Source organism: Homo sapiens, chromosome 9 (genome assembly GCF_000001405.40).
Source record: "Homo sapiens chromosome 9, GRCh38.p14 Primary Assembly".
NCBI classification, from domain to species: domain Eukaryota; kingdom Metazoa; phylum Chordata; class Mammalia; order Primates; family Hominidae; genus Homo; species Homo sapiens.
In genome coordinates, this window is record NC_000009.12 from 76,619,445 (window position 1) to 76,645,076 (window position 25,632).

General features: G+C 39.6%; 1 protein-coding gene and 1 long non-coding RNA gene across 55 annotated transcripts in view, besides 2 other annotated features; one reads left to right on the forward strand and one right to left on the reverse strand.

Annotated features, from left to right (window-relative positions):
* LOC105376095 (uncharacterized) overlaps nt 1-25,632 on the forward strand; it is an 84,799-nt gene that overhangs the window by 26,537 nt on the left and 32,630 nt on the right. For 11 of the 13 annotated variants that reach the window (XR_007061586.1, XR_007061588.1, XR_007061590.1 and 8 more), the window contains 4 exons: nt 11,953-12,051; nt 22,750-22,842; nt 23,001-23,234; nt 25,274-25,535. This is a non-coding gene — a long non-coding RNA (uncharacterized LOC105376095). The remainder of the gene's footprint in view (nt 1-11,952; nt 12,052-22,749; nt 22,843-23,000; nt 23,235-25,273; nt 25,536-25,632) is intronic. The other 2 variants (XR_002956900.2, XR_007061594.1) reach the window with 2 other exon arrangements.
* The window catches only part of PRUNE2 (prune homolog 2 with BCH domain), a 294,739-nt gene that overhangs the window by 8,069 nt on the left and 261,038 nt on the right, over nt 1-25,632 (reverse strand). For 6 of the 42 annotated variants that reach the window (XM_011518326.3, XM_006716982.2, XM_006716984.3 and 3 more), the window contains 8 exons: nt 25,295-25,468; nt 22,528-22,536; nt 18,742-18,844; nt 17,974-18,105; nt 17,027-17,113; nt 9,748-9,846; nt 5,579-5,614; nt 5,008-5,046 (listed from right to left, as the gene is read on the reverse strand). In XM_011518326.3, coding sequence (XP_011516628.1) covers nt 5,008-5,046; nt 5,579-5,614; nt 9,748-9,846; nt 17,027-17,113; nt 17,974-18,105; nt 18,742-18,844; nt 22,528-22,536; nt 25,295-25,468 — 679 coding nt within the window. Of the gene's footprint in view, nt 1-292; nt 5,047-5,578; nt 5,615-6,041; nt 8,392-9,747; nt 9,847-17,026; nt 17,114-17,973; nt 18,106-18,741; nt 18,845-22,345; nt 22,537-25,294; nt 25,469-25,632 lie in introns of those variants that run through there. The other 36 variants (XM_005251751.2, XM_011518328.3, XM_005251746.2 and 33 more) reach the window with 17 other exon arrangements.
* Nucleotides 24,127-24,176: an enhancer, noted in NCBI's record as "active region_28479". NCBI's record gives its function as "activates an Ori minimal core promoter by ATAC-STARR-seq in GM12878 lymphoblastoid cells {active_cell/tissue: GM12878}" and the evidence as "EXISTENCE:reporter gene assay evidence [ECO:0000049][PMID:35858748]".
* Nucleotides 24,187-24,296: an enhancer, noted in NCBI's record as "active region_28480". NCBI's record gives its function as "activates an Ori minimal core promoter by ATAC-STARR-seq in GM12878 lymphoblastoid cells {active_cell/tissue: GM12878}" and the evidence as "EXISTENCE:reporter gene assay evidence [ECO:0000049][PMID:35858748]".

Sequence of the window (25,632 nt, forward strand, 5' to 3'; positions counted from 1 at the left end):
AAGCACAACAGATTTGAGGCATTTGAAACTGTTTAATGTGGTCCCATTGCTAATACTGAACAAATCCATACCTGAACAGATGATAAGATTAAGCTGTAACCCTTACCATTGGTTTTGAAATACAAGTGATTGCCCATGATATAAAAACACAAAGCAAAGATTAAAAACTCCAAACACCTCCAGTGGTCTCTTCTGTCCTCATTTTTCCCTGCCTTTTCAATTTGTCTTATTCAGGGGACATATTACAAAATTGTTTTGGTACCCCAAATAATAAAATACACACAGAGGAAAATCCCTCTCAAGCAGCCTAATTTTATTCACCCATGAACACAGTTAATTTTCAGTTTTCACGAGAATGAGGATTTCCCAATACACTGAAAGAAAAAATGTCAGCGTCAGCTCTCCTCATTGTTGTTGTTACAGAAATAACAGGACACTTACCACTCCATACAGCTGAGCTGTGTCCAGGTGATACAAATGAATCCTACCATTTACCTCAACTGAGTATGCCCAGAAAACAAATGTAACCTTATAAAATAATAAATAAAAGTGTTTTTATGGCATTTATGTTTTTTGTGTAGTATTAGCTGTTTTTGATATACTGGTGTGATTTCTCTGTGAGCAAATTTCAAATTTGCTTCCTATTAATTCTTGATGAATACTCATTACACCTCAACTTTTATACCCCTCCCATAATTTTTTTTTTTTTTTTTGAGACAGAGTCTTGCTCTGTCGCCCAGGCTGAAGTGCAGTGGCACTATCTTGGCTCACTGCAACCTCTGCCTCTCAGGTTCAAGCGATTCTCCTGCCTCAGCCACCCAAGTAGCTGGGACTACAGCTGCATGCCACCATGCCCGGCTAATTTTCATATTTTTGGTAGGGGTAGGGTTTTGCCATGTTGCCCCAGGCTGGTCTCAAACTCCTGGACTCAAGCGATCCTCCTGCCTCGGCCTCCCAAAGTGCTGGGATTACAGGCGTGAGCCACTGTGCCCGGCCTCCCATAAATATTTTATTATTGACAAACAAACACTATTCTATTTAAAGAGCTTCTATGATCCTTTTTAAGTGCAGTTGTCCTCTTAGTAATATAATTTCACAAGCTAATTTATCTGTTTGCACATAAGAGGATCCATGATGAAGGTCAGGTGTTTTGTTGAAAATGACAGGCGGCTATCTCCCCAGGTGAGATAGCAACCTTCCTTTCTCACTCCCCACCCTTCTTGCTGGTGGTCTGATATTTTTATAGGGAATATTTGGGAATTCCAGTGAGCAAGGACAGTCAAGTAAGTGTTGACAGCGTGCTAAAAAAAACCTAGCAAAGCTGGAATGGAATCAAGAAAGGGCAATCTTCCAAACTCAGCTTTTCTGCTTTTTAATTTTGAGTAATCCTCCCAAGGAAAACAGCAATTTGCAAACCCTTTAATACTGTCACTCCAAAGGCAACACACGGATGCTTCCCAATTTTCAAAATAAGAATGGTTCTAGGTATACTATTTATCCTTCAGAAGTATAATACTTTCTTTCCTGTATACAGCTAAGGTTTTAAAGAAAAGATAAGGCAGGCTGAGGAAATCACCTTCTGAAGTCAATTAGAGTTGGGGTGCAGTTTGAGTGGTGGTATGTGTGTGTGTGAGGGGAGAGGGAGAATGTTGAGAAACTAGTGGGCATAAAGCAAAACAGTGGACAGATAGGTTTTGTTCCCTGACCAAGTGTACGTTTGCCTTTGGTTAGACCTAGCCTGAAGCTTTCTGAACAAGTCATGTGGAAAGTCAGGCGCATCTGTCAACAGGAAGAACCTGGGCATGTCTGGCTTCTAACCATAGATCTGCAGTGATCATGTTTATCATACAGTTTCTCCTAGAATTCAGGGGCTACTTCAGAGGCTAAAAGGTAGTTGAAAAAATGTTGCTGGTGGCCGAGATGGTGGGATTCTAAGGCATTCCAATCACCTGTGGGGTCAACAGAGTAGAATTTTTTCTCTGTACACATTTTCAAATGTGCAAATATATTTCAATTCCTCATACATGTGATGTTACCATCAAAAAGGTAGGATCAAAAGATCCTAGAGGGAGGATTCTTCAGGCAGATGGCTTACCCACTGAATCCAAAGCAAGAGCATAGACCTCCAAAACAAATCTGATTATTTTTATTTGGCCCTTGACTTTTAGGCAGTGGTTCTCAAAGCTGGGTCCTGAGACCAGCAGCATCAGCATCACTGGGAACTTGTTAGAAATGCAGACTTTTTTTTTTCTTGAGACAGGGTCTCACTCCGTTGCCCAGGCTGGAGTGTAGTGGTAAGATCAATTAGCTCACTGCAACCTTGAACTCCAGGGCTCAATGGATCCTCCCACCTCAGCCTCCCATGTAGCTGGGACTGCAGGCACATACCACCATACTTGGCTAATTAAAAAAATTTTTTTTTGTAGAGATGGAGTCCTGCTATGTTGCCCAGGCTGGTCTCTAACTCCTGGCCTCAAGCAATCCTCCCCACTCAGCCTCCCAAAGTCCTGGGATTACAGGGCTGAGCAACCTCACCTGGCCAGAAATGCAGATTTTTAGGCTCCACTCTAGAGCTGCTGAATCAGAAACTTTGGGGGTGAGACATGGGATTTCGTGTTTTACCATGTGCTCCAGGTCATTGCAATGCACAATAAAGTTTGAGAACCCACTGCTCAACAGCAATGAACTGAATGTTATGCAAATTCATTAATTTATGCAGCATAAATTTACTGAGCATCTACTATGTACCAGGCACGAGCATAGTGCTTCCTTTAGGAGGGAGATCAAAATGTCTCAGGACCCTCTGAGCCATTTAGACACATTGGGAGAGGGTAGGTAGGGGTAAGGAAGAGAACAAAATAGTGGATGTGAGAGAAAAAAGAGAAAGCTACAAAACTACCCAAAAACAATAATCATTTTACTGTGGCAGCTAAGCAGAAAGAGTATAAATATAGAGGAAAAAAATCTATTAAAAGAAGCAAGATTTCATGGTAATAATGAAAGAAACATGACAATATGACTTTATGACAGGTTTGTCTGAAAAATTATTGATGTTCTTTCCCCCATCTTTTGTCTTCAAAATAGCGCTTTAATTTCATAAATATGTTATCATCCTGAAAAAATAAATCTGAAAGAAAACTGAAAAAATCTGAAAGAGAACTCTCACTGAGCGTTCTCTCTCTCTAGGAAATCTCATGATACAAAGCAATTTGAGTGCAGGTAAATGCTAAAGGGATGTTACACCAACACTCAGTTCCTTGATTACTAGTATTTTCCTTACTTCCACAACTTCTTGTTTGTGACAGTTGGGATCAAGACTAAGAAGATTTTTTAGAATAAAAAATTACACAGTTTTGAGTTTCATTATCTAATTGGGTGTCAGTTATCTTGAAAGAAAATGAGAAGACTGGAATATTGTAACAGTAAACTCCACTAATGCTAAACTTTCTAAAGCAAAAACCTATCCTTTAATTTTTAACACAAAAGATTGGCACACTACAAGCAAATAATCCTATAGGTTATTATAATAAAAATGTACCATAGGGGAAAAATGTCTAAATGGATTGTTTTAATGAGGAATTGGCATTTACAACTATGCAGAAAATGTCTATTAGTTAGATTTTATTTATTCAGAATTTATAGCTGTTAGGACATTGTCCAGGCCTTCTGCTTTTGCAATGTCTATTAAAATGGGAGCTGGTTTTAAAAATTAACAGCATAAGCAACATTTAAAATAGGGAAGAAACTTAATGTGCTTAATTCAGCAAACTTTTCAAATAGTACTTGGTTATATCTAACATGTATTATCAGAAAATTTCTTTGTAACTTGGAAACGAGAAAAGAGAATGACTGGATTTTTTTTTTTTTTTGAGATGGAGTCTCGCTCTGTCCCCAGGCTGGAGTGCAGTGGCATGATCTCGGCTCACTGCAATCTCCGCCTCCCAGGTTCAAACGATTCTCCTTCCTCAGCCTCCCGAGTAGCTCGGACTATAGGCGTGCACCACCATGCCCAGCTAATTTTTGTATTTTTAGTAGAGACGGGGTTTCACCATGTTGGCCAGGATGGTCTCGATCTCCTGACCTCGTGATCCACCCATCTCGGCCTCCCAAAGTGCTGGGATTACAGGGGTCTGACTTTCTATTGGTTGGGCTATTTTACAGCTCAATAGGGGCAGAGGTTAACTTGTAGTTTCTGTCCAGCAGAGATGCAAATAATTTCTGTCCAGTGGAAAAGACAACCTCAATATTACAGTTTATTGCCCTGTTGTTTATTAACCAGTTTTGTATCTAACCCAACAATCTTATCCAAATATTCTTCTATAAATTGCCTATAGATATCTAGCTGCTCAAATGTTCTTTGAACTGGCTTTAACACCTTAGTGGTTCCTGCATTAAATAATTAGTTGAATAAAATCATTGGCATGTGTTCATTTTATATTTGCATGAGAGTTGTAATTTTGCCTTTTTGAGATTCATACTTTAGCAATAGTGGGCAATGACTTTTGTTTTTCTATTCATCAAAATAGCTCAAAGGCTGTTAGTTAAGCAATATTTCCAAAGTCATTAAGTAAGTTGTTGTTTTAATTCATAGAAGGCCGTGAAATTGATTCTACAAAAATCTTCCAAATCTCGATGTGTTATTATTCCTCCCCACTGGTATGAATTAGTGAGGTTCTGTTGCCTCAATACCTAATGATCATCTCGATGTCACACTATATGTGGCAGTGCCTGTGATGTGCTCTTTTGTTGTGGTGCCTAGAATTGCGTGTACATTAAAAAACAACAACAACAGTGACAAATACATTCCTCAGTATAAGCAAGATCATGGGGAAAAATAGATTGTAGTAAGAATAATAGAGATTACATCTATCATAGGAGAAAGAGAATTTCTAAAGTGCATTATTATCAGGAAGCAGGAATAAAACACCAGGCATGCAGATTTTCCCAATTCAGTTCTGAAATGCAAGCCAACATCATGCCAGCCGCTAAACGAAAACCAAGTCTTACTTAGCTGCCTCTGATGCTTCCCTCAGTTCTTCATCCAGTCTGCAGGAGCAAAAATTATTGGTGTGGAAAAGAAACAAAAGAGAAGCAAGCACAGCATGAGACAGTCACTCAGCAAAGCAGGGCCAAATGAAAGTGGTGCATATGTGCTTTTCGAAACTGTCTTCTGGAGCCCTGAGACGTACTCCTTCCATTAAATATGTTGTCATTGCCTCCCATTCAGTGTTTATGTACATTTACTTTGCAAATTCCTTCATAAAATGTAGACATAAGTTGCAAAGGGATCAGAAACATGCTGGCTGAATAAAGCTGAAAACATCCACGTCAGTCTGGTGGGTACAGTTCAAGTTAGCTTGCAGCCTGGGCCAAGTCAGGGATGTATCTGGTTTAGTAGGTTTCAGTTGCAAATTAGGTTGACCTCAACAGCTTTACACACAGGACAAAGACTGAAAATGGCATACAAAAGACTGATACAGTGACCTCTTGCTCTGGTAGCTTGTTGAGGTCACCCACAAGTAAAACACTGGTGTACACACACAGGGTCCAGCATGAATAGGAGATCAGGAGATTTTACCTCACACTTCTCTTATAAGATCTCTCTTCATCGTACCTTACAAGATAAAAAACGAGTGCCATAAGGAAAATGAGCAAACAGATGGGAAAAATGACAAGTAAATGATTTAAATGACAGTCAAATCATGAGAGAAAATGCCTATCCAGATACAGTCATGCACCATGTAACATCATTTGGGTCAGTGATGGACCACATATATGGTAGTGGTCCCCTAAATTAGAATACCATAATTTGACAGTATCTTTTCTACGTGTACATACACAAATACTTACCATGGTGTTATAGCTGCCTGCAGTATTCAGTACAGTAACATGCTGTACAGGTGTGTAGCCTAGGAGCAACAGGTTATAGCAGATAGCCTAGGTGGTGTAGTGGTCTCTACCATCGGGGTGGTTTGTATAAGTTCACTATGATGTCTACACAATGATGAAAACATCTAAAGACGCACTTCTCAGAACATGTCTCTGTCATTAGGTGATGTATGATGGTAATAATAAAATTGACATTTGGGGGAAATCTTATTTTCATTAGAAAACAATCAATGTTTATAATTTATAAATATATGCAGTCAAACCTCATTATTTGCAGATTCTATATTTGTAAATTTGCCTCTTCACTAGCATGTATTTATAAACACAAAATCAATACAAAGTACTTTTTGGGTCACTTGTGGACATGTGCAGAGTGGAGAAAAATTTGAGTTGCCCAACATTCATGTTGCCACCTGGCAATGTGTGAGGCTCTGTCTTCTTGTTTCATACTGTAAACAAGTGTCCTTTTCACAACCTTTTTAGTGCCTTTTTTTCCGCTCATTTTTGTATTTTTCCTTGGTGATTTTGCTGTTCAAATTGGCTTCCAAGCATAGGGCTGAAATACTGTATTGGGAATACTAGTATTCCCAAGTGCAGGAAAGCTGTGATGTGCCTTATGAAGAAAATATGTGTATTAGATAAGCTTTGTTTATGCACAAGTTACAATACTGTTGGCCATGAGTTCAATGTTCATAAATCAACAATGTATACTAAGTAAGGTTCATTTAAACAGAAACACACATAAAAAAAGGTTATATATTGATTGATTGATGAAAACATTGTGACCAGATGCTTGCAGGAACTGAACATCCTGTATTTTCCCTTGGAACACTATTTCAGTATTCACTAATTAAGTGTTTGCAGTGACTTTATAGAACATAACTGCCACAAATAATGAGAATCAACTGTAACCAATGATTATAAATTTGGTTCTAGGTTGGGCAAGTTTTTCTTTCATTTAAGCCCTTTGATGACAGGCTCCATCTCAGCTGAGGACTGGTTGTGGGAGTGGCTGAGATTAGATCCTTTGAATGTTATTCAGTGATAAAAAGGAGCCATGGCTCGTATCCATTTGAAATTTGCAAAACATGAAATTGAGGTGATGAAGGTCAGTAACAGAAATGGCAGAAAGGACATCCCAAGGAGATGAATTACAGAAAACAGAACACATGGACATGTGGGCAGCACATGAATGGTGGTAAATTTCTTTCTCCAGAAAAAAATTTTTCCAACTAGAACCCTTCCTCCTGAAGTAACTTTTCCCAAATGGAGCCCTTGAAAACTGATGTGTGCAGTTGAATGAAAAATGTCCTAGGTATACTTAACTTCTCATTTGAACTTTCCCATATGATGGAGAGTCTCTAAAAGCAACAGGTGTAACAATAAATAAGATTCTGGATTGCGAACTCTGTGCTGGGAGGCTTTGCAAGTGCTTTGTGTACCCTGTTTGCATTCAACCCTCAGAACCATTCCAGGAAGTGCAACTTACTTCCTTACTTTACAGATGCTGAAGCTGAGACTCAGAATATTTTAATTAATTAATCATTTTAATAGATGACTTGAAGTCTCAGAGACATTGAGAGGTAGGAGAGAAGGTTCAAATCTAAGTCTCTAAAGCCCATTCACTTTTCATTCTATTGCCTCTGTCACACCATGGAAGTGTTACCGTGTTTACTTGGAAAGTGGTCAATGCTCAATTCCACTAGAAGAGAGAATGTCCTTGTCATCTTATAGAATGTGAGTGTTTCCATACTTCTTCATCTTTTTTTTTTCTTCTTCTTTTTTGAGACAGCGTCTCACTCTGTCAACCAGGCTTGAGTGCAGTGGTGCGATCTCGGCTCACTGCAATTTCCGCCTCCCAGGCTCAAGCAATCCTACCACTTTAATCTCTTGAGTAGCTAGGACTACAGGTGCATGCTACCACACCCGGCTAATTTTTGTGTTTTTTTCATAGAGATGGGGTGGCGGGGGGCTCACCATGTTGCCCAGGCTGGTCTTGAACTCCTGGACTCAAGCTATCCACCCTCCTCAGACTCCCAAAGTGCTAAGATTACAGGTGTGAGGCATCCCTCTCTGCCTCCATACTTTTTAAATTTAAAGAGTAGAAGTGGGATTTGAAGACGGAGTACACCTTTTTGAGGCAGCAGCCCAGAGCTATGAGGTATGCTGGTTGTGGAAACGCTGTGAAGCTAATGAGGGTTGAAGCCGTCATTAGGATCTAATGAACACTCCGTTTGATTCAGCTGAGCCCAGCTGACCACCGGAAGCCCAGTCAGTATCCTGTGTTCACGCCCGATATTGCTTATGTAGGAGAACCAAATGAATCTACTTCTGAGGTTTGAATTTTGAAGGATTCTCTGAGAGAGGTAAAGGAATCTACTAGAAAAGGACATGGGAATTTTAGTGCCAGGCTGACCTGAATTTGAATTTCCGTTCCATCTCTTCCTGGTTCCTACTTATACTGTGCATAAGTAACTTCCTACTAAGTTACGTCCCCTGCATCTGTAAAACAGGGGTTTACTATAAGAGTTAAATAAATGATATAAATAGAGCACTGCTATGCTTGGCATATCATAGACACACATTACATGAGAATTCTTTCCTTCCAGTTTCTAGGCTGGGCCTTTTTAATTAATTAATTAATTTTTTAAAGTGAGAGGACTCTTTTTTGGAATCCCAAACGAGAGGTACATTTTGCTATCCATTTTATGGAGGAAGATGAATGATACTTGCCTGTTTTCTTTGAGCTAATGGTTAAGTCCCTCTCCATTCAAATGAAATGAAAAAAGCTAGTGATTCAGATACAGTGAACAACAACAAAAAAAAAGACACACAGAAAACAATCGTTCTTTGCAACAATGTACCAGATACAACTGTTCATTCTCCGATATCCCTGTTTTAAAATCCCAGCTCCAAGTATTTATTTTGTTAAATTTTATCCTAGTTTTTGTAGCATCATCCTGAGACCTTCAGTACCCATGCAGGATGCTGACGCTGATACTGCGTTACCCTCTATTGAGCAAGGAAACCATTCCTCACCACCTCACCCACCACTGGGCAAATGCCCTCTACTTAATCATGACAAACAAAAAAGGTTTAGAAGAAACAGAGAAAGAGTTATTTCTTTCTATTTTCCTAGCATCATGCAGATAAATTACTTTGTATAAGACAATAAAGAAATCCAAGCTATGCTAAGACCGTCTTGTGTCTGTGCAGAGTGGGGGACACAAGAAACTGATACACTGTTAACCAGTAGAGACAGTATACCAATTAACCAATGTAACTGTTACTTTTTCCAAAGTGGTAGTAAAGTTCAAGCTAAAAATGAACAATAATCAAATAACCCCAGGAAAAGATTAGGTGAAAGAGGATCTAAAAGAACACAACAATTATCTATAGGTTATAGGAAAAAATTGTATTTATTGGAGGATATTTAATATTGTTTTAAAAATAAGATAGTGCCATTTCCCCTGTTCCAGAACTGACCTCTTTTCCAACCCACTTCTCCAAACACACACTTTTTTTTTTTTTTGATACAGGGTCTCACTGCCACCAGGCTGGAGTACAGTGGCACGATCACAGCTCACTGCAGCCTTGACTTCCCAGGATCAGGTGATCCTCCCATCTCAGCCCCCTGAATAGCTGGACTACAGGCAAATGCCATCACGCCTGGCTAATTTTTATATATTTAGTAGGAATGGGGTTTTGCTATGTTGTCCAGGCTGATTGCAAACTCCTGGGCTCAACTGATTCTTCCACTCAGCCTCCCAAAGTGCTAGGATTACAGGCGTGAGCCACCACACCCAGCCTCAAACTAGTACTATTTCTTAACACATCTCTGAAACTGTCAGGACTTACTTGATGATGCTCTCTGGAATGTGGATGCAATCCATTGGGATCAGCCCACTGAGTTCTGATAAGCTATTGACATATTTAATTTTACTGCTGAATTTTGAACTAAAAAAAAAAAAAAGAAAAAAATATGTATCATTAGTCACTACCTTATCCATTCTAAGGCTATTGCCTTTTCTTGAAAATCCTGATACTTAACACCTTGCCACAGCACTCTTACTAAGAGGCTAACATTATTTGACGAGTTACAATGTGCCAGACACTGTTTTGTTGTTGTTGGTGGTGATGTTTTATTCTGTTTTTAAAATTTATTTTTTAAATTGCCATGTAAAAAAGTATAACATGATGTTCTGAAATATGTATACGTTGTGGAATGGCTGAACTGAGCTAATTTACGTATGTATTACTTCACATGCTTTTTTTTTTTTTGATACTTAAAATCTACTCTCTTAGCAATTTTCTAGGATGCAATACATTGTTATTAGCTCTGGTCACCATGTTGTTCAATAGGGCTCTGGAACTTATGCCTCTTAACCGAAATTTTGTGGTTTTTGACCAACATTTCCTCACTCCCAACCCCCAGCTTCTGGTAACCACCATTCCACTCTCTACTTCTATAAGCTCAACTTTTTTAGATGCCACATATAAGTGAGATCATGCAGTATTTGGCCAAATGCTGTCTTAAGTGGTTTACACATATGAATGCAGGTATTTCTTATTACAGCCTAGTGAGGTAGACACTATTATTATCCTATTTTCAAAGATAAGGAAACAGATACAGAGCAGTTAAGTGTTTACCCAAGGTCTCACCATTAGTAAATGGCAGAGCCTATACTAACCTGGGCAGTCTGACTTTGGCATTCACACTCTTGACCATATATTGTGCGGCCTCCCGGTGGTTCCTGCTACTCTGAATAGTCACTACTTTATGCCTTGTTTGTCTCTGTTTACTTATTTGTTTGTAACAAACAAAAATCTTACCATTAGTTCTTTCAGAATCTACCAAGTTTGATGATACTTTAAAAATATATGTAAACTCATTTTTCTTTTTTTTTTAGTTTATTTTAAAAATTTTTGTTTTTTTTTTTTTAAAGTTTTAGGTTGAACGTTTATTCTGGATGAACCAACATTCAAAAATATGTTCCAATAATTGGATTTGAATTACAAACAGCTTTCATCTAAATGTGTTCGTTTTAGAGATGTGTAAATGCACAGAGAACAACTTGGAAGGATACCAATGAAACTGATAAAAGATTTTGCCTCTGGGGAAGGGGATTAGGAACAGGAATTGGTAATTGTTAAAGGAAGAACTTGGTCTTATGCATTTCTGAAGAATGCATTTTCTTTTTTTCTTTTTGAGACAGAGTCTCGCTCTGTCGCCCAGGCTGGAGTGCAGTGGCACGATCTTGGCTCACTGCAAGCTCTGCCTCCTGGGTTCACGCTATTCTCCTGCCTCAGCCTCCCGAGTAGCTGGGACTACAGGTGCCTGCCACCATGCCTGGCTAATTTTTTGTATTTTTTTAGTAGAGACAGGGTTTCACTGTGTTAGCCAGGATGGTCTCCATCTCCTGACCTTGTGATCTGCCCGCCTCAGCCTCCCAAAGTGCTGGGATTACAGGCGTAAGCCTCTGCACCCGGCCTGCATTTTCTTATTACTTGTGTAATGGCAAACTAATTTAAAAAGTATATCCAAGGGTCTAACATTCTTGAATGGTTTCAAATGAAAAGGTCTCTCTAGTCTACTGGGATCTTGCTGAGCTGTCTGCCATCTGTATTACCTTGTGTTCAACTACTATGCATTCTAGTAAGAAGCTTTTTTGAGGTGTGTCTTCTATCCATCTATCTTTAATACTTTACTTGCAATTTTGGCCCTGGGCCCAAGACACTTGTGAACAACCGTCCTCTCCATACAGTAGCTTCTGTCCCTCCTGATAAGTCTTGGGTCAACACACACTACCAGTGATATGCTACATTAAGCCTTTTTCCTCCTGTGGAGTTGTTGAGCTAAATACGGTTTTGATAAAAGACTGAGTGGGTGACTGAGAGGGAAAAGAAGTCATGCAAAAGGAAAACCTCCAGCTCCAGTGTTAACATTCACTGGAATTTCGCAGTTCTCTGAACATGCCATGTTCTCTCTTTATTGATGTATTTGTATCTGGCGTTTTGTCTACCTGTTTCCTCAACCTGGATTGCTCTTCTCTCTAATTTCAGCTGGCCAATCCTGCTAATCCTTTAAAACTCACCTGGAGGGAAGGCCTCCTTCTGCAAAGCCTCTCTTGATGCAGATTATCAGCTTTCACTCTCTACCAGGTATACCCCCAAACTCACCCTCACCTTGAGTCATCACCTCCTCAAGATGCAATTGTATCCTGTTATTGTAACTGTTCACTTGTCTGCCCATGTCTGCTCCAGGCTTTGTGCTCCTTAAGGACAGCAATCGAGCTATGTGATTTCCCAATCCAGTGCTTGGCACAGACAAATTACTAATTTTTTCCCCCAGCTTTTATTCAGGGGTACATGTGCAGGTTTTTACATGGGTAAACTGCATGTCACAGTGGTTTGATGTACAGATTATTTTGTCACCTAGTTAATGAGCATAGTACCTGATAGGTAGTTTTTTGATCCTCACTGTCCTCCACCCTCCACCCTCTAGTAGTCCCTGGTGTCTGGAGTATACTCAATGTTCAGCTCCCACTTATAAGTGAGAACATGCGGTATTTGGTTTTCTTAGGATAACTCACTTATGATAATGACCTCCAGCTCCATCCATGTTGTTGCAAAGGAAGTGATTTAGTTCTTTTTTATGGCTGCTAGTATTCCATAGTGTATATGTACTGCATTTGCTTTATCCAATCCACTGTTAATGGGCATCTAGGTTGATTCCATGTCTTTGCTATTGTGAATAGTGCTGCGATGAACATACATGTGCATGTGTCTTTACGGTAGAATGAGTTATATTCCTTTGTGTATTTACCCAGTAATGGGATTGGCAGGTCAAATGGTACTTCTGTTTTAAGTTCTTTGAGAAATCTCCAAACTGCCAATAACTCATTGTTTAAAATGAACTTGCCATATACCTCTATCATAGATGCTACCCTTCAGTAGCGAGAAGACCTATAATACATTTTAGTGATCTCTTTTTTCATATCTACAAGTTGCTAACACTGAAGTAAATTGACTCAAAGGAGGATCTTTAAAGAGGCTCCTACATGATGAAACTGTAGAATACAATTATTAAGTACTTGATGTAGGTTTTCTTTAGAATTGGGCAGACAATTGGTTTCAAAGACGGAGCCTATCATTTCTAGGCTGTGTCACCCTAGACCTGAGGTTGGTAAATGATAGCCCGTGGCTGAAGCCAGCTGCTGTCAGTTTATTATTATTTTTTTAGAAGCTAGGACTCACTCTGTCACCCAGGCTGGAGTGCAGTGGTATGATCATAGCTCACTACAGCCTTGGACTCCTGGGCTCAGGTAATCCTCCTATCTCTGCCTCTGGAGTAGCTAGGACTACAGGCACATGCTACGCTGCCTAGCTAAATTTAAAAAAAAATTTTCCAGAGTCAGGATCTCCCTATGTTGCCCAGGCTGATCTTGAACCCCTTGCCTCAAGCAATCCTCCTGCTTCAGCTTCCTGAGTAGCTGGAATTATAGGCACAAGTCTATCTGATTTTTATAGTCCCTGAGTGAAGGATGATTTCTATGTTTTTTAAGGTGGTTTAAAAAATGTAAAAATAAAAATATTCTATGATGCCGGCTGGGCGCAGTGTCTCGTACCTGTAGTCCCAGCACTTTGGGAGGCCGAGGCAGGCGGATCACTTGAGGTCAGGAGTTCAAGACCAGCCTGGCCAACATGGCGAAAACCTGTCTCTACTAAAAATACAAAAATTAGCCAGGTGTGGTGGCACATGCCTGTAATCCCAGCTACTTGGGAGGTGGAGGCAGGAGAATCGCTTGAACCTGGGAGGCGGAGGCTGCAGAAAGCAGAGATCATGCCACTGCACTCCAGTCTGGGCAACAGAGTGAAACTCCCTTTCAAAAAAAAGAGAATATTTTACAATGTAAAAATCATAGTAAATTCAATTTCGGTTTTCATAAATAAAGTTTCATCAGAGGCCAGGCATGGTGGCTCATGCTTGTAACCCCAGCACTTTGGGAGGCTGAGATGGGAAGGTCACCTGATCTCAAGAGTTCAAGACCAGCCGGGGAAACATGGCAAATCCTGTCTCTGCCAAAAATACAAAAACTTAGCCAGGCGTGGTGGTACATATCTGTGGTCCCAGCTACTTGGGAGGCTTAGGTGGGAGAATCACTTGAGCATGGGAAGGCAGAGGTTGCAGTGAGCCGAGATCGCACCACAGCACTCCAGCCTGGGGCAACAGAGTGAGGTTGTCTCAAAAAAAAAAAAAAAGTTTCATCAGAACACAGCCACTTACTTGTTTGCATGTTTCCTACGGCTGCTTTTGCTCTATAATGGCAGAATTGAGTAGCTGTAACTGAAATCATAGGGCCAGTGAAGCCTAAACTATTTACTAGTTGAATCTTTATAAACAATGTTTGCTGGTTCCTGCTTTAGACAATTTATTTGACCTCCCTGAACCTCAGCAGTTTTTCCTATATAATGGAAATAGTAAACAGTATCTGCTTCAGGCTGGGCATGGTGGCTCATGCCTGTAATCTCAGCACTTTGGGCCAAAGCAGGCAGATTGCTTGAGCCTAGGAGTTTGAGACCAGCTTGGACAACATGAGACCCCATATCTACAAAAAAATAAAAAAATTTAGCTGATTGTGGTGGCATACACCTATAGTCCCAGCTACTCAGGAGGCTGAGGTGGGAGGATTGCTTGATCCCAGGAGTCTGAGGCTGCAGTAAGCCATGATCGTGCCACTGCACTCCAGCCTGGGTGACTGAAGGCGACCGTCTCTCAAAACAAAAAACAAACAAAAAAGTATCTACTTCAGAGGACTGTCATTAGGTTAAATGAGATAATGCAAATAAGCACTCAATAAATTAAGCCATTATTAGTCATAATTTACCACAACACTGTTGCTATAATTTTATTATTACTGTTGTTGTTATTATCTTGAAGCTCCCTTCAATAAGTAGTGTTGAATTATAATAATGTTTAATAGCCTTACAGTAACAAATGTTTTCTTATTGTTAAACTACATTTGGCTTGAGGCTTTCTCTGTAGTTTGAGTTCCTAGGTAGCTAACTGCAACCTAACATAGTATGTAAACAAAATTCCAACCTAACTTATGAGTATATTTTTGCAAAGACTAGCTGAGTCTCAGCCAATCAAAGCAGCTGAGCTTCAGCAATCACAGGTTGCCAAATGATCAGACCATGACCATATAAGGCAAATGCTTCATCACACTGTACCCAAATAAGATAACTGCTGAGCTGTACCCAATCAAGCTATTTCTATACATCACCTTGCTTTTCTCTGGACAAATACTGTCTGCCCACTTTGCTGGGAGGAGCTCTCTGAACCTCTCCTGGTTCTAAGTCATGCTGGATTCATAAATCATTTTTTGCTCTAATAAACTGATTGATTTGTCTAAAGTTTATCTTTTAACATTACTTAATCAAGAAAAAACATTTGTTTTATAAGTGCTGAATTATTAAGCAAACATCGATGAATCAGTAACTATGCTAATGTTTACCTTTCTACCCATTAAACTTTTTGAAAGCTTATCAGCATACATTGATTCCTACTCCCTAGTTACAACATTTCCTGAAAATATTAAAATAAGTGGCTCTTTGTATACCTTAAATAGGTCTAATATTTTTGTTTGTTTTTTGGAGGCACAGTCTCACTCTGTTGCCCAGGCTGGAGTGCAGTGGTGTGATCTTGCCTCACTGCAACCTCCTCCCAGGTTCAAGCGATTCTCCTGCCTCAGCCTCCCTAGTAGCTGGGACTATAGGCACACCACCACCATGCCTGGCTAATTTTTTGTGTTTTTAGTAGAGATGGGGTTTCACCATGTTGGCCAGGCTGGTCTCAAACTCCTGACCTCAAGTGATCTGCCCGCCTTGGCCTCCCAAACTGCTGGGATTACAGGTGTGAGCCACCCCGCTTGGCTGCTCATAATATTTTTAAAAGCAATTTAACACAGTATGGTAAACAGCTAATCTTTGCCAGAGGGAAACTAGGGTGAATCCTGCTACTCAATTGAAGATAAATTGAAATTTTCCCATCTTAAAATTATTAATTAATTTCGTCTAAAAATTCTGATAACTTCGTTTTTTCAGTGGTTTCTTCTTGTGTATAATGAAGATAATAACAGTATATCATGTGATTGTTTAGCCTTCAGTTTACCATTTTAACAATTCTTGATTTTCAGGTATATTTTTCAGCATTAGCAATTGGAAGTGGGGAATAAGAATAATAAATAAATATAACTAAATACTTAACAAGAAAGGTAGAATTTGGAAGCTACAGTAAAATCTATGTACACACAAAAAAAAGATTTTAAAGTTTATCTTTTTCCCCAGAAGCAAAGTTATCAGAATTTTTAAAAGAAATTCATTAATAACTTTGAGATGGGAAAATTTCAATTAATCTAATCTGTACCCTGATGGTGGGCAAATTTTATTGTTTTTAAAGCTATCTAGAAAGTAAATACTATCCCTTTCATTTAACTATTTGAAGTCTTACTATATTATGAACATAACTTATTTTACTTTGCATCCCTAAGATGTAAGGTTATGCAAAACCTAACATAAAATAAGTGACAAATAAATATTCACTGAATTGAAACCAAGACTCCTCAGGGGTGATCAAAACACAGCTCTCAAAATGGCTGCCCAGACTCTATATAACTTTGGTAGTTATATAAACGTTGTGTAGGTCTATTCAGAAGAAATGGCACAATTGAGACATGATATGGCTTCTGTTTCTGCCCTTGATTCATCTTTACTTTCCATTGTCATATTACTCTACCTTTCTATTCTCTACATAATAGCATATCACTTTAAATGTATTATCTATTCTCCTTTCTAATGTGGCATGAAAATCCCACCACTTCATCTTCCGTGTTTATAGCAAGCAATTTAGAGGTCCTGTTTTATAATGATCTGGGGGAAATATTCATCATGACAGCATTTTCTCTCTTAATTCGGGATTCTTGATGAATAGTCCAAAGCACCTTTCTAGGAAAGACAGAGACAAATATATTTCCCTGGGTACTCTTAGTTTATGAATTCTTGTTTTTAGGACAATGAGTACATATTTTTTAAAACTACTAGTAGTACTTTTATTTTATGACAACATTAACTGTACCTTATAAAAGGTCGTGTCACAGCAAGGATTGTTCTGATGAACCAAGATGGATGAACAATGATGAATGATTTCAAATTCTTCCTCAACCTATTTTGAAAAAAGAAAAAAAATACATTACTCTTAACCCATTTTCAGTGGGAATTAAAACATAAAACATATTCCTAAATAAGAATATATATAATTTAAGTCTGGCATGGTAGCTCATGCCTATAATCCCAGCACTTTGGGAGGCCAAGGCAGGCAGATCACCTGAGGTCAGGAGTTTGAGACTGGCCTGGCCAACATGTTGAAACCCCATCTCTACTAAAAATAAAAATAAAAATAAAAATAAAAAAATTAGCTGGGCGTGGTGGTGCCCGCCTGTAAGTCCTGGCTACTCAGTGGGTTAGACAGGAGAATCGCTTGAACCCAGGAGGCGGAGGTTGCCGTGATCCAAGATCATGCCACTGCACTCCAGCCTAGGCAACAGAGTGAGACTCCAACAACAACGACAACAACAAAAATGTGTGTGTGTGTGTGTGTGTGTGTGTGTGTGTGTGTATAATTTTAGGGAGTTCTATGCAAGTTACTATTACCTGGTAGGAAGATATAGAATGGCCATGATTAATTACAAGAATGCTTTTTGAGATGTAATTTGAAACTTGTATGATTCAAACGTCATTTTCTCATAGAAGTAAATGTAAAATAGAATGGTTGTGTTCTTAGAGTGCATGAATCTATAACCAACATGGTGTATTTTTGTTTAATGATGCTTTTATTCTCGTCAGTATTACCTTTACTATTTTGAAAAGAATACATGCTTAATAGCAACTTAGACAATTTATTTGATCTTATTGAGACTTGGTTTCTTCTTGTGTATAATGAAGATAATAACAGTATACCATGTGGTTGTTTAGTCTTCAGTTTACCAAAATCAAAATAGTGATTAAATAATAGAGCCCACATACCGTCTGTCAATCATCTGGTAGCATTTCTTCATCCAGCCTAGCCCTGGCATCCTCCTTCTTGGGGTTGCACCATTCAAGTACACAATCATATAGTCTTCAGCTACCATCAACTCTAAAGTACTTATTACATATCTGATCACAGGAAGGAAGAGGAATGTTTTCAGTTCCCACATCCTATTGACACCATAATTACATAACATCAAAAGTACAGGGTGTATGAAATTTAAGAATGATTGTGCATATTACCTCTTTACCTTGGGAAGAATACAATTACCTAAGAGCATTCCTCTGAGAGTATTACTCATTTATCGGTATGGCTATCTATCTTTTAAATGGAGGTACACTAGAAAAATGTATGGGTTAGAAAGAATCCTGACTTTCAAAACTGTCAACAATGTTATCAAATACTAAGGGTAACTCAGGTTAAATAAGGGCAGATATTAATGAAGTCAGGTTATAGTCAGTCTTAGCTGACTAAGAACATGTTATGAAGGAACAAAAATAATACTTTGCCCAAAGGAAATGTTACAGAATTTTAAAATGCAAGCAAAATTCTGTTCATCTTGGTTTCAGTCTAGTCTACCCACAAAAGAGCTCCTTTAAAGGTTTTAGCCCCTTGAGCAACATTCCTTGACAGAAACCTTACTGACTTTTCACTGAAGGCTTAGAACATTCTACATCATCTATTTTCTTTAATTAAAGGTGCTCTATCTGCCATTACATGCCACAGACATTAACTCAAAGCACTTTGTCATAAGTATCACTCACAGGAAAAGATTTTCCATGACATAGTGGTAATCCGCCCGACTGCTGTCTGGCAGAAAACAGGCGGCAAACACAATGATGGCATTTAGACCGTCCCCATAGTATCCTGGGGGACAAACAAAAAGACACTTGTAACCAATTGAAAGCTCTTAACAAGGTAATATCTGACCTAATGGATAAATATGAAGCCTTGGCAAGTGTGTCTTTGTGGGTATATTAGCAGCATGAAATGGGGATTATGTTGACTATAGGTCTGTAGGTATATACCCATATAGTTATCTTTCAGTGGTTAACATCTATGTTTTATAGAGTGTTAAATATATAGGGCAATTATATTTGCATATGTAGGCTATTTATATATTACGGATGATTATATTGTTGTACATAGTTGTGAAGAGGGTGTGTAAATATTCGACATCACAAAAAAATGAGAGGGGGCAAGACTGACCTAAATGTCAGATTTATATCATACTAATACATAAGTACTTATACAGCACTTCTTTCTTCTGATGGCTAAGAAAGAGATTCTGTTTGATCCTCTATAGTTCTTTTTAGTCTTAGACACTGCTTAATTTAAAGGGAGAATTTAGCCACTGAAGTGCAACATAATCTCTCATCCACACACTCCAGTGACCAAATACTAGTGAGTAGACAAGTAAAACACCTTTATTTTGATTTCGAGGCCTGCAGTGCCCCTGGGATCAACAGACAGTGTGAGAACCCATGAAAAGTTCTAGCCAGGCCTTGTTCTGTCCAATATTTTACTACCATGTAATCACCAATGGGTATGTAGAGTTCTGAAAAAACTGACACATTGGGCTCTGGGAGGACTGGACCAGGCTTAAGCGTATGTCCTGTCCTCCTACTCAAAGCTTGGAGGAAATCTCTATTTAATGATTCTACAGTCCAGAGCTATATGACGTTCCCCCATCTTTTTTGCAGTAGAGTCACACTCTCTTTGTAGAGAACATCTTACTAAACTGCTTTTCAAGAGTTAATTAACTCCATCCAAATCTATATACAGCCAGGCCGGGCGCCATGACTCATGCCTGTAATCCCAGCACTTTGGGAGGCCGAGGTAGGCAGATCACTTGAGGCCAGGAGTTCGAGACCACCCGGACAGCACGGTGAAACCTTGTCCCCGCTAAAAATACAAAAATTAGCCAAGCGTGGTGGCACACGCCTGTAATCCCAGCTATTTGGAAGGCTGAGGCAGGAGAATTGCTTAAGCCTGCGAGGCAGAGGTTGCAGTGAGCCAAGATCGTGCCACTGCCCTCCAGCCTGGGTGACAGAGTGAGATTCTGTCTCAAAAAAACAAACAACAAAAAAACTATATACAGCCAATATTTTACTGCCACGTAATCACTCAGTGAGTATTTAGAGTTCTGAGAAAATTAACACATTGAGTTCTATTAAGGGGCTAAGGTTCTGAATTCTATGAAGAGGAAGAAAACTTCCTCTCATAAGAGGAGGAAAACTAAAGATGGGTCTGGCTAAATTATATTTGAGTAGTATAAAATTCTGTACTTTTGGGAAAACTTGAGAATTGCTTCCTGGTAACATGGAACTGAGGAGTGGAAGTGCTACTTGCAGGAGCTGCTGAGAAAACAGCAGGTGGGAAATGCGGAAAGTGTGGCCATTGAAACTCCGGGGGTCAAGGAACATGTAGATACATCTCAGGACACCATTCCCCATCTTTTGAAAGCTCTGGCATAATTTTGGAATTGCCCTGTCTTTTAAGTAAGCTTTATATTCCCATAGTTTCTTTGAAACTCACAGCAGGTGTCAGTCAGACCCCCACAGGTAACTATATGGAATGTCATGCATCTTTCACACTTAAAAAGGGAAGCAATGTGTGAATTTTTTATTTTTTAGTATCCCTGTCTAAACGATTGAAATTGATGTCATATAGTTTTGGACTGTTGAATCATTAAAGAGATTTTCTTCAAGCTTTGAGTAGGAGGACAGGACATACGCTTAAGCCTGGTCCAGTCCTCCCAGAACCCAACGTGTTAGTTTTTTCAGAACTCTAAATACCCACTGGTGATTTCATGGCAGTAAAGTAATGGCTGTGTATAGATTTGGATGGAGTTAATTCACTCTTGAAAAGCAGTTTAATAAGATGTTTTCTACAAAGAGAGTGTGACTCTACTGCAAAAAAATATGGGGGAAGAGAGCAAAACTAACTAAAAATATACCCAATTATGGGTTTGTGTGTATTACTAATTTGAGGTAGTTGTATACAGTATTTATACTACAAGTGGTGATACGGTGTTGTTGTATACAGTATTTATACTACAGATCTTAGAAGATGCTACCTATGTAAGTATTCAACTGATGCAACACATGTTTGTGAGAGAGCAACGTAGTAGCTTCTCTGGATATTTTTGCTTTCGTTCCATCTTTTCCAATATGCAGGGTATTTATCAACTACTTTTTAGAATGCAATATGAAGGAAAATGGCAGGAGGAGACATATCTTAATACAAAAATTGCTTGTTACAATAATTTCATTTCTGAAGATGCATAATTAAATGGAAATCCACAAAGGATATGGTGGCTTAGCTATACTAATCCTCATACCGCACAGATAAGCAATTCATCCTCAGCATGACGAAAAGACAGACGTTCATTAAAAGAGACAACAGACATAATGAATCCAACTTAAAAGCAAGAAAGCATCCTTTCAAAAGCGTTTTTCTAAATGTAGCAATCTGGCTCCAGAGTGTTACAGTAATTTCAAGATCATGACCACTCAGTTACTTTGATTTCTTTCTTTATTTCCATGAACTTCTAAGAAATTTTTTTCGAAAGGGAAAGACTGAGGTTTATAAACAGTACTTCAGATGTCATTTTAAATGGCAGTTCAGCTCACTGTGTAAATGCTGTCTGCCCTTGGAATGTTGCAGCGTCATGTTCATCCAAGTTTATTTAACTAAAGGAATACTACGGGATCAACCTACTACTTCATGATCGCTGTCTAAGTAAGAAATGTCTCGATATAAAAAGTATGGAAATTTATAAATGAAAATGAAAATTTATAAATGAAAATGTGTTATTTTGGGCAGAGAAGCTTTAAGAAGGGAAGAAGAGGCAAAAAGAGCAGGAAGAAAGTAGCAGGAGAGGGGATAATTAAAAGAGGGAAATAAAAGAAAGATTTCCACATGAAAGTTTTCCTCCAAAATCAAGAGCCAGTGCCGTTGGCAGGCTTGGGAGATATTTCAGGTAATACTGTAATTTTTCTATAGCTGCTTCCTGCTAAAAAAAGTTTAAATTTAAATTTAAAAAATCAGATAATACTATAATTGCAAGCAAAGTGCAATAACTAGAATGCATAGGATCAATCACTTTTTGCCCCTCCCAGATACCTTGAAGGGGTCAGCTAACCCCTCAATTTCTATTCTCAAATATGCAGCTTACTCTAGTAAAGTTTCCTGTTGGCAACAGCATAATTCATTTGAAGTCTGGTTTTTAAAACATTTCTTTCATTAGACTTTCTTCTCAATAAAGGTGAGGTGAATTCAAGGTGTATGTGCTGGGTGGGGTGCATGAGCAACCCCCCCCCAGGAGTCTCCTGAGACCCTCTGAAGCAAGGACGCAAACCTTACCTGAGTGACACAGACAGGCATGAAAGGGATGTAACACAAGTTTGCTGGCCAGCAATGGAATGGAGACAGAAGGAAAGATGTCACAGTCGCAACCAAAACATACACACACACACACCAGCCAGCAACTCTTCTCCTCATTCTTTCCAGGGTCATTTGTCCAGCAAGACTTCAGAGAAGGTTACCTGAATCTCCTATAATGAAATAAGAGAAGTAAAAAAAAAAAAAAAAGAAAAGAAAAAGAAAAGAAACTCCTTGTTAAAATTACTTGGCATTATTGTTCTCCATTATTTAAATGGGTTTCTCAGCTCCAAGTTCAAAAAAAAAGCCAGTTCTAGCCTCAGAGGGACCCCGTACTGTTGGCTGAGCAAAACCATTCAAACCCCTCTTTGCTTTTATTTATGCAGATGGCAAGGATATTGCTGTTGGCTCATAGGATGTGAACAGTGGTGTTGAGATTACCCTCATTTGGCTGATGATGTCATTGAGGCCCAGAGAAGGTAAGTAATGTACCAAGGTTACAGACTAGTAAGTGACAGAGATGGGTTTTGAGCCCCATTCTTCTACATTGTGTGCAATAGCTCATATCAAGGTCACTAAAGCTGAAGACTGAATTATTTATTCAAATACTGCCATCATGCACCAATATTCTCAACAGGTAGGACACCTGGCAGGGCCTGGCTTTGGGGCTAACTTCTGCAGCTCTTTTGATTGCCCCCACCTTACAGTTTTTGGCACAGAGCACTGTGTAGCTGGCACTTCTCTACTGGCCCGAATGAGAAAACTTCCTCAGAGCAAAATGTCAAGCACCAAATAAGATTCATGTTTACTGTGAAGTGATTGCTGCTTTTTAAATGCTTATCAGAAGCCGAAGGACAAACTCAGTAGGTTGGTAAGTAAGGAGATTTTTCATCATTATGGTCTAAGAGAGTGCTGTAAACTCCTAATGTGGAAGACAAAGCTTTAGCAAATTCAGAAGTAACATCTGAAGTATCTTTACCTACAGAGCACAAAAGCTGTTCAGGGTGTAGGAAAAGGTGGCATCTCTCTAAAGTTCCGGATGGGTGCAGCCAGAGGCACATTTCATGCAGGCTGGTGCCTGGAGAGGGCCAAGGCAGGGCTGGGGAGAGGGGAGGTGGCCTTCTCTTCAAAACAAACCAGACAGTCACACAGACAAAAACTGAGCTTGCGACACAGAATGGAGACGAGCAAATGGCAAAGGGAGGAGGTGGCAGGGACGGAGAGCACAGCAAACCAGGTTAGCCCTGAGGGCTCAGGTGAATTGTTACAAGACTGTGACAGGCAGAAGCAGTGGCTTTTTCCCAACCATCAGTGCACTGATGATAATCATTCTCTCCTGATTCAGACAACAGCCCACCTAAAGAACAAGCAGGCGAGTCTACTGGAGTATTAGCAGATAACTAGCCCTAGAAGAGCAGCAGGACCATGAGCTTCCTTTCAACACAGGGACTCTGCATTTAGGAGCTGATGTTTATAGGGCTTATCACTGGGTGACTTTGATGTGACAGACATTTTAATTTTTTAATACTTTTTAAAATGAACACAGACTACTCTTACAGGCAGCCTTTGTTTTGTTTCTATTTTCAAAAAGAAAACAAACCAAAAATATCTGATGGGTGGTGCAAAGGAGATGTGACCTGGGAAGATGGGGAAGATTGAGTGTTCCTCTTATGGTTTTCACATAAAAACAAAAGGGTTGACTCTACAGCCAGCTGTGTGTCACTTGCAGCAAGATGGGGCCAACTCTCATTCTGAAGGGCTACGGGCATGATTTCCCTTAGAGGAAACTGCTCCTGACCCCACAGCAGCTCTCAGCGGGGCATATTTCCATTTCAGGTCAAACAGTAAGGCAAGACAAAGAAAGGCCATGGCCAGGGCCAGGGACTGGCATTCACCTTTGCTACAGTGGTCAGGTTCCCTGGGTGGTCCTGATACTTATGTGGGGGTAGCAATGTATGGGATGGAAGGTGAAAAATCTGCTGGCGGAGAAAGGTTTGATTGAAATAACAGATCAGCCTTCTGCTTGTTATAATAGAAAACAAAAGCAGTGTTTTGAGGCAGTGCTAAGACTCTCATTTCCCTGTCCTCATTAAGGAAGAGAGAACTGAGAGAGCAACAACTGCCTTGTCAGCTCACACTCTTTCTGAACAGCTGGGTGGTTACAGTGGCACCTCAGGCTCGGGAAAGGAAGGCACGCAGCAGAAGAATCAAAATGCTGTCGAGGTTTTCTGAAGTTGACAATGTTAAATGTGTTGCTTCCACTCATCTGACTTTTTGTGACTCCCAAATTAATCAAGGCCACATATGCTCCAGGAGCCCTCAAGAAAGTGCTGGAAATACAAACACACTTTTCTCTCTCCCTTGTCTCTCACCAAACAGGTGGAGGCTTTGACTGGGGTTGGCTGTTGTCAGGCCTAGATTTAATGTAGTTTACTAGTTTACAGAAAGGCAAACTTCAGTTAGGGGAAACAATTACCAGGCTAAGTCTAAAAAAAAAATCCCCAAAGCTTCTGAAGAGGATTCAAAAGGCCATTTTGTAATGAGAAGCACCTCGGGGGTAGTGTTATGACACAGGCCATGGTGTCACATACTCTGTTCAGTTCAACCGTACAATGGACTGATAAGAATGCCAAACAGACATTTAAATTAGACAACTATGACTTTCAATAAATTTGCACAAGATGATCGCTATCAGATATGTAGCATGAAAAGCCCGTTTTATATTGGAAAGTTGTCTTTGCCTAGTAGGATTTCAAATGTTTATTGAATTGAATATGAGGAAATATACTTAGCTCTATAGTTCCCTGAATATTGGCTCTAGAATAGGGTCTTTGAGATGTCATGTTCCGGAGAAGTCTAGACTCACTTCATGATTTTAAATAAAATGGCTGCCCCTTCCCCATTTCCCAGATTCATGCTGAGCTCGACTACCTCCGTGAGAAATGACTCTCCTGTAGGGCTCGATGACCTTCATGTCAATGCGCTGCTCTTGTTCTCCAATGACCACTGTCCTCCAAAGCCGGTTGTCCTCCCGTTCCTCTTCGGCCGTATATTCTGGAATAGACTCTGACTCTTGGCCAGAATCTTTGTTGGCTGTGGGATCTTCTGGAAACAAAGCACAGAGCAAGGCTGAAGGAGCAAGACCTCCACAGTGCAGCTAAACAGCCAAATGGTAAGCTTTACAATACAGTACTCCTACGGGCAGCCTTTGTTTTGTTTCATCCTGCAGAAACAACCTGATCAAAGTCCTTGTTTTGTACAGCCTTTAC